We start from the raw sequence: 8,907 nt of genomic DNA on the forward strand, positions 1-8,907 counted from the left end.
CCTTCCAATCCCATCCACCTATGTGTCTTCCAACAATTTATAAAAATGACCAAAGGGACAATGAAAATGGTTTTAACATTTGAATATCAACCAAACATGCATGATTGGGCCAGGCGCAGTGGCTCACACCTGCACTCCCAACAACTTTGGGAGGCCGAGGTGGGCAGATCACCAGAGATCACAAGTTCAAGACCAGCCTGGGCAACATGGGAAACGCTGTCTCTAGTAAAAATACAAAACTTAGCAAAGCGTGGTGGTGCACATTTGTAATCCCAGCCACTCAGGAGGCTGAGGCAGGAGAATCGCTTGAACTCGGGAGATGGAGGTTGCAGTGAGCCGAGATCACACCACTGCACTCCACCCGGGACCACAGAGCGAGACTCTGTCTCCCAAAAAAAAAAAAAAAAAAAAAATGCACAATTAGTTGAACATTTGAATTCAACCAATGTATTTAAACAAATAAATAGAATAAAAGCACCAGAAAATGATCATCTTAACTGATGTAGGAAAAACATTTGAAAAAATTCAATGACTCATTCAGGATTTTAAAAATATTCTCAGCAAAATAAGAAAATAATTCCTCAATATGAATTCCTCAATGGGATTACAGACACACACCACCCACCTTATCAGTCAGTCCCTTAGTAAATTCCATCAGTGTTTGTTAGGATTAGGGTGGAAGTCAAGAATTCATTCATTAATGCCCTCCACAGAGAATGAGTTGTACTAATATGTGACCTTCCTATTTTTGAGTTTGAGACAGGGAAGGGTTCAATCTGTTCCTGAGATTAGACAGAAAAACAAAACCTGAAAGCTTTATGGTTCAGAGATCTTTGGCTGGATCAACGTTATCAAAATGAATTCTTGACTTGCGTTCTAATCCCAACACTTTCAATTTCATGATTGGATATCCAAGGGATTGAATGGACACCTGAATTCACAGGCTTAACTGGGTGGAGCTTCAGAAATCCAATCAGGCATCACTCTCTGATGGGAAGCTGGTGGTTGAAAAGGGGAGGTGTGATGAGAAAGGTTCAAGAAAGCTTGTGAGCACCCCCAGAAGAGACCCAGAGCTGTGGTGCCTGGAGTTACTGCTTGGTTCTCCACGAGATCCGAGCATACTGCAAAGTGAGTCCAGATCTGGTAAGTCAGGGACCTCCACAAAGGGCACTCCTATGACCCAAAGTCAGACAGTCGGGATTACGACACGCAGGTCAAGATGACACAGAGAATTCTCCTGCCTGTTTTTCAGATGAACAGATGTAGGCTTTGATTTTTCCTCTAATACACTTTTATCTACACTCCAAATATATATATACATATATATTTTTGTTTGTTTGTTTGTTTTTGTTTTGAGACAGAGTCTCACTCTGTTGCCTGGGCTGGAGTGCAGTGGCACGATCTCGGCTCATTGCAACTTCCACCTCCCAAGTTCAAGCAATTCTCCTGCCTCAGCCTCCCGAGTAGCTGGGACTACAGGCGCCCACCACCAAGCCTGGCTAATTTTTTTTTGTATTTTTAGAGAGACAGGGTTTCACCATGTTGGCCAGGCTGGTCTTGAACTCCTGACCTTGTGGTTCACCCGCCTCAGCCTCCCAAAGTGCTGAGATTACAGGCATGAACCACCACGCCCAGCCACTCTCCAAATATTTTATTTCTGTTTTAGTTTATGCCATCTCAAAGTTCTCTTTTATTTTATTTTTTTGAGACAGACTCTTGCTCTGTCACCCAGGCTGGAGTGCAGTGGCATGATCCTGGTTCACTGCAACCTCCGCCTCCTGGATCAAGTGATTCTCCTGCCTCAGCCTCCCTACTATCTGGAATTACAGGCGCCCACCACTATGCCTGACTAAATTTTGTATTTTTTTTCTCCCATGTTGCTTCAGCACTTGATAAGCTACTTCTTTTTTTTTTTTTTTTTTTTTTTTGAGATGGAGCGTCATTCTATTGCCCTGGCTGCGGGGCAATGGCACAATCTCAGCTCACTGCAACCTCCACCTCCCAGGTTCAAGCGATTCTCCTGCCTCAGCGTCCCGAGTACTGGGATTACAGGCACCTGTCACCACACCTGGCTAATTTTTGTATTTTTAGTAGAGATGGGGTTTCACCATGTTGGCCAGGCTTGTCTCGAACTCCTGACTTTGTGATCGGCCCACCTCGGTCTCCCAAAGTGCTGGGATTACAGGTGTGAGCACCGTGCCCAGCCTTAATTTTGTATTTTTAGTAGAGGTAAGTTTTTACCATGTTGGCCAGGCTGGTCTTGAACTCCTGACCTCTCAAGTGATCAACCTGCCTTGGCCTCCCAAAGTGCTGGGATAATAGGCATGAGTTACTGGGCCCTGCCACATTTCAAAGTTCTTTTTTTTTTTTTTCTCCAAGGAGTCTCACTCTGTCGCCCATGTCGGAGTGCAGTGTCGCGATCTCAGCTCACTGCAACCTCCGCCTCCCGGCTTCAAGCAATTCTCCCGCCTCAGCCTCCCAAGTAGCTGGGATTACAAGGCACCAGCCACCATGCGCAGCTAATTTTTGTATTTTTAGTAGAGATAAGATTTTGCCAGGTTGGCTACACTGCTCTCAAACTCCTCACCTCACTGCAACCTCTGCCCCCCACGCTCAACGGATCCTCCCTCCTCAGCCTTCCAAGTAGCTGAGACTCCCATGATGGCTCACACCTGTAATTCCAGCAACCTTGAAAGGCCAAGGCAGCCAGATCACATGAGGCCAACTCCATCTGTACTTAAAATGCAACCATTAGCCAGGCATGGTGGTGTGCACCTGGGTGACCCAGCAAGACTTTGCCTTAAAAAGGAAAAAAAAATTTATTTGTGCTTGTTTTATGTCATTCCAAAATTCTTAACCAAAGAATTAAGAAAGAATCCAACTGGGCCAGAGACAGTGGCTCATGCCTGTAATCCCAGCACTTTGGGAGACCAAGGTGGGTGCATCACCTGAGGTCAGGAATTTGAGACCAGGCTGACCAACACAGTGAAAAGCCTTCTCTACTAAAAATACAAAAATTAACTGGGCATGGTGGCACATGCCTGTAATCCAAGCTACTCAGGAGGCTGAGGCAGGTGAATTGCTTCAGCCCGGGAGGTGGAGGTTGCAGTGAGCTGAGATCACGCCATTGCACTCCAGCCTGGGCAATAGACTCCGTCTCAATTAAAAAAAAAAAAATTCCAATTAATTAATGTCTCATTCCTTGACATTTAAAGTTTGTAGATTGTGTGCCCTTAATTTACAGTTTATAGACTACGTTATTGTGATTTTAATTTCTTGAGACAAAGTCTCACTCTGTCACCCAGCTGTACTGCAGTGGTGTGATAATTGCCTCAGTGCAACCTCTGTCTCCTGTATTCAAGGGATCTTCTCACCTCAGCCTTCCCAGTAGCTGGGACTACAGACCCACACCATGAGGCCTGGCTAATTGTATTTTTAGTAGAGATGGGGTTGTACCATATTGCCCAGGCTGGTCTGGAACCCCTGGACTCCATGTAATCTGCCAGCCCTTAGCCTCCCAAAGTGCTGGGATTACAGGCAAGAGTCACCCCACCCAAGAATGCTATTGTGATTTTGAAAGATAGGTTTTGTTTTTTACTAAAATTATAAAGATATTCCTTCTACCATGCTCTATTAAATTTTTTTATGATGTTGGGTTCTGGCTTTGTTAGCCAGGCTGGTCTGGAACACCTGGACTCAAGCAAACCCCCCACCTTGTCTCCTAAAGTCTTGGGATTACAGGCATGAGCCACCATGTCTGGCCCCATACACTATTTTCAAGAGTAGAGTCTTTGTTTTGAATGTAGGATCCATTTCTTCCCCTAGACTCAATCCCAAAGTGTGTTATTATTGTTATTATTATTTGAGACAGGGTCTTTCTCTGTTGCCCAGGCTGGAGTGTGGTGGCAAAATCTCAGATAACTGAAACCTCTGCTTCCCAGGCTCAAGCCATCCTCCCACCTCTGTCTGCAGAGTAGCTGAGACTATAGGCATGTGCCACAATGCTCAGATAATTACTTAACATTCTAGTAGAGTCTAGTAGACATGGGCTATCACTATGTTGCCCTGGCTGGTCTGGAACTCCTGGGCTCAAGTGATTGTTCTGCCTTGGCTTCCCAAAGTGTTGGGATTACGGCTGTAAGCCGCCATGCTTGGCTTCGCTTTACAATTTTTTTTTTTTTTTTTTTGAGACAGAGTCTTACTCTGCCACCCAGGCTGGAGTGTAGTGGCTAGATTTTGGCTCACTGCAAACTCTGGCCCTTGGGTTAAGAGATTCTCCTGCCTCAGCTTCCCAAGTAGCTGGGATTACAGGCATGGACAACCATACCTGGCTAATATTTTGTATTAGCAGAGACGGTATTTCACCGTGTCGGCCGGGCTGGTCTCGAACTCCCGACCTCATGATCCGCCTACCTCGGGCTCCCAAAGTGCTGGGATTACAGGCATGAGCCACCGTGCTTGGCCAAGAAGACATTTTGTTTTCTCAAAAAAGTGGAGATCTGAGCTTCAAAGATCCTTGGTAACACTTCCCAGTGCTATCAGTGTAGTGGTGCAGTGGCTAATAATTCATGGACCCTATAGGAGGGATCTTGCCTGCTCTTTAGAGGTTGGGACACACTCTTCTTGGTACCAGAAGGGCAGAACTATGCCTCTGTGGCCACTTATTGCAGAATGGAATTGGAGTAAACTGAGGGCCCTTTCACACATGCTAGAGAACTGACTTTGGCCCTAGGAGAAGTGGGGGTTGCAGGGGATTGGCCTGAGAAACTTGCCTTTTCACTGGATTGTCCTCTAGAGTTTTTCACTGGAGATTTGTCAGAATGAGCCTCCAGTCCCCATCCAGACTCCTGGAGCTGGCAGGCCAGAGCCTGCTGAGGAACCAGTTCTTGACCATCTTCATCCTGGACGAGCTGCCCAGGGAGGTCTTCCCTCTGATGTTCATGGAGGCCTCCAGCATGAGACATTTTGAGGCCCTGAAGCTGATGGTGCAGGCCTGGCCCTTCCTCCGCCTCCCTCTGGGATCCCTGATGAAGACACCTCATCTGGAGACCTTGCAAGCTGTGCTGAAGGGACTTGATACACTGCTGGCCCAGAAGCTTCGCCCCAGGTGAGGTGACTCAGGTGGCCTGGTGGGAAGGGTCCAGGCATCCAGGGAAGGGACAGCTGGCTCAGGAGGAGTGGTGGGGTTGGGGAGCTAGGGTGGCTCAGAGGCTTCTGATGGTGCCCATGAGAGACCTTGACCATTGCCCAGATCCTCTGGAAAAGGACTGCTCACCATACAGGGTCCACTGAGGAAACAGGAACCTGCTTCCTCCCAGTGGAAGGTAAAGGTTCTAGAAGTGAGAACCAGGCAGAATCCAAGGGGGAGCGGGATGGAGAAGAGACAGAAGGAGGAGCACTGAGGACAGGAGCAGCTGACTGATGTCCTGGATGTTGAGTGAAAGCTCAGGTCAGGGGTGGGTCTTTGCCTACATTCTGAGCTTTTCCCCTATGTTACTCACAGGAGGTGGAAACTTCAAGTGCTGGATTTGCGGGATGTTGATGGGAATTTCTGGACTATATGGTCTGGAGCCAGGGCCCTCTCCTGCTCCCCAGAGGCCATGAGTAAGAGGCAGACAGTGGAGGACTATCCAAGGACGGGAGAGCACCAGCCCTTGAAGGTGTTCATAGACCTCTGCCAAAAGGAAAGTACACTGGATGAATGCCTGAGCTACCTCTGCAGGTGGATCCACTACAGAAGAGGTCTAGTGCACCTGTGTTGTAATAAGGTGCAGAATTACTCAATGCCCACTTCAAGTTTCAGAAATTTATTGAAAAGGGTATACCCAGACAGTATCCAGGAGTTGGAAATTAAGAGAAAGTGCTCTCTGAATAAAACAGGAAAGTTTGCCCCTTACTTGAGCCAGATGAGCAATCTTCGCAAACTCTTTTTAGCCTTCGGTTATGACGATGAGTTATATGTAAGCGGCCAACAGCAGTTCGTTCCTGACTTGGACTGTCCATTCCTCTGCCTGTACTACCCTCAGATGCTTTATATAAGAAAGATCAGTAATATCAAAGAGCACCTGGAGCACCTGCTCAGGTAAGAAAGGATGGTGAGCTTTCTCTGCAGACCATACCACAGACTTTTGTTCTTTTTCACAGTAAACGCTAGTGGGCATCTACTGTGTGCCAGCCACTGGTGATGTCACAGGGAATGGGACGCTAGAATGTCAACTCATTATGCTGTTCAGTGCTCTATATCCTGAAGTGGGTATCACAAGCCCGCTCAAATAAGGGCGGAGGGATGGCCCGGGGCAGATGCTACAGAGAGAGACATGCAGGGAGCTAGTTAGTCAGGGGTTCAGATCTAGGGAGGGTGCATTTGTGAATTCCTTTTTAGGAAGTGTGTTTGAAGTTAATATGATGAAACTTATTCTTCATATAGAGGAGAGTATGAAAGAAGGGAAAGTGCATCAAACCTGCGTGTTTCACAGCAGAAGCTCCGTCCTCACAGCTTAGTAAACACCAATGAACCTGTCTCTAATTCCCTGTCTGTAAAAGGTTCTTTTGAACCCCAGGAAAAGTAGTTGACATGAGAAAAGCATGCTTCTTGGACAGAGGTGAGGGAGTAGGCAGGAGAGTGGTATAAAGTGATAGGTGGTTTGCAGACACGGGCATGTCAGGGAATCTTTGCAGGCAGGTGGTCCTAGCAGATGTCCCTAGACCTTGCTCAGTTGAGTTCTTTGTGCACTTCTCCCACTGGGCTCCTCTGGCCCAGAGCTGAGGTTGTCTCCTGAAAGATAAAGTAAAGAGGCTTTAAAGATTTTGTGGCCTTGAACTAATCACACAAGCAAGGCTGAAAGGACTGAGCCTAAAATGGAGCTGCCCCTGAATGATCTGGGTCTTCATCAGGCAGCACCTTGCACGCAGACCATCATCTGATGATGGGAACAAACTTGTGTTTGAGTGAAACAGGCTTCCCCATTGCAGGTTACTACAACACCTGTGTGGTAGTAAGGTGCAGAATTACTCAATGCCCACTTCAAGTTTACCATTGAGATGATTTCCCACCCCCCTCCTCCAACTGGCACCATTGCCCATAACTAATTTCTTGCTCTCCCCAGGTGCCTCAAGAACCCCTTGGGAACCTTTATATTCTGTCATGCTTACCTAGCTGATCAGGACATGGAGTGTCTGTCTCAGTACCCAAGCCTCAGTCAGCTAAAGGAGCTGCATCTGATTCATATCCTAATGTGGACTACCAATCTTGAGCCCCTTGGAGCTCTGCTAGAGAAAGTTGCTGCTACTCTCGAGATCCTCACGTTAAAGGACTGTCAGATCCAGGACTCCCAGCTCAGGGTCCTCCTGCCTGCCCTGAGCCGCTGCTCCCAGCTCACCACCTTCTACTTTCGCGGAAATGAGACCTCCACGAATGCTCTGAAAGACCTGCTGTGTCACACAGGTGGGCTGAGCAAGTTAGGTCTGGAGTTGTATCCTGCCCCTCTGGAGTGTCTTGACAACAGGGGTCATGTCAATTGGGAGATCCTCGCCCCAATTCGGGCTGAGCTGATGTGTACACTCAGGGAAGTCAGGCAGCCCAAGAGGATCTTTTTTGGTCCCATCCCCTGCCCTTCCTGTGGCTCATGGCCATCTGAGAAAGTGGACTTCCATCTTTGCTCTTAGTGAAGGCCTGATTAGTGGGATGGATATGCTTTCTTCAGGACCCTTAGGCACTAAAATCTAGGACACAGGTGGGTTTTTTTGTTTTTTTGTTTTTTTTTTGATGGAGTCTCGCTCTGTCCCTCAGGCTAAAGTGCAGTGGCAAAATCTCAGCTCACTGTAACCTCCACCTCCCAGGTTCAAGTGATTCTCCTGCCTCAGCCTCCCTAGTAGCTGGTGTTACTGGCGTGTGCCACCACACCCAGCTAATTTTTGTATTTTTTTGTATTTTTTTTTTGAGACAGAGTCTTGCTCTGTTGCCCAGGCTGGAGTGCAGTGGTGTGATTTCGGCTCACTGCAACCTCCACCTCCTGGGTTCACGCCATTCTCCTGCCTCAGCCTCCAGAGTAGCTGGGACTACAGGTGCCACCGTGTTAGCCAGGATGGTCTCGATCTCCTGACCTCGTGATCCACCCACCTCAGCCTCCCAAAGTGTAATTTTTGTATTTTTAGTAGAGACAGGGTTTCACGATGTTGGAGGAGGCTGGCCTCGAACTCCTGACCTCAAGTGATCTGACCACCTTGGCCTTCCACAGTGCTGGGTTTACAGGCATGAGCAGCCGGGCCCGGTCAGGTGCATCTTAAAGGAAGCACACGGTCATGTGTTTCAGGCACGTGCTGACTGTGAGTGGGAAAACAAAGGTGACTCAGCTGGGGGCAGGACTGGGTGAAAATGCTGACTTGGCATCGATGAGGCCTTCAGGGACCTGTTTCCTAGACTCAGAAATGGAACCTGAAGTTCTTGAGTGATGCAGAAGTTACCCTCACAAGGATGGTTATGTAAAAATGTCAAAAATAAATGGAATCTGAATGGAAACTTTCTGGTGTCTTCCATGATTGATCAACCTGTTTTAGACATTTATACATCAGAAATCTCTAGTTACTGATGAGAGATACTACATCATCTGTGATCGAGGTTCAGCTGCAGCAAATCAAGGCATCAAAACTGAAATGTGATCATTTTGATTAATTCTCACCCATTTTTTACTTCCCTTCAGTCATCTGTTTCTTCCTTACTTTCTCCCATGCCTGTTCACTGGGTTCATTTACAAAGGATGCACACTTGGGGCCTGGAACATTCTGTGTGGGCAGTGATGATGAGCCACTGAAATCTACCCTCTTCTCAAGGGCCCTCACTGCTCCCCAGATACTGAGACCCTGCTCACTCCTAATGGACAGATCCAGAGGAATCCATTCCTGATCTTT

The 8,907-nt window shown here is 47.5% G+C and overlaps 1 protein-coding gene across 1 annotated transcript; it reads left to right on the forward strand.

Moving 5' to 3' along the window:
• Positions 1-4,794: 4,794 nt before the first annotated feature.
• PRAMEF17 (PRAME family member 17) lies at positions 4,795-7,792 on the forward strand. The gene is made up of 3 exons (NM_001099851.3): positions 4,795-5,107; positions 5,504-6,082; positions 7,107-7,792. Exons 1-3 carry the CDS (start codon positions 4,821-4,823, stop codon positions 7,663-7,665), a joined length of 1,425 nt encoding a protein of 474 aa, NP_001093321.1. The 5' UTR covers positions 4,795-4,820; the 3' UTR covers positions 7,666-7,792.
• The last annotated feature ends 1,115 nt before the right edge of the window (positions 7,793-8,907 follow it).

The sequence above is a fragment of the Homo sapiens genome, chromosome 1, assembly GCF_000001405.40.
Source record: "Homo sapiens chromosome 1, GRCh38.p14 Primary Assembly".
NCBI lineage: Eukaryota > Metazoa > Chordata > Mammalia > Primates > Hominidae > Homo > Homo sapiens.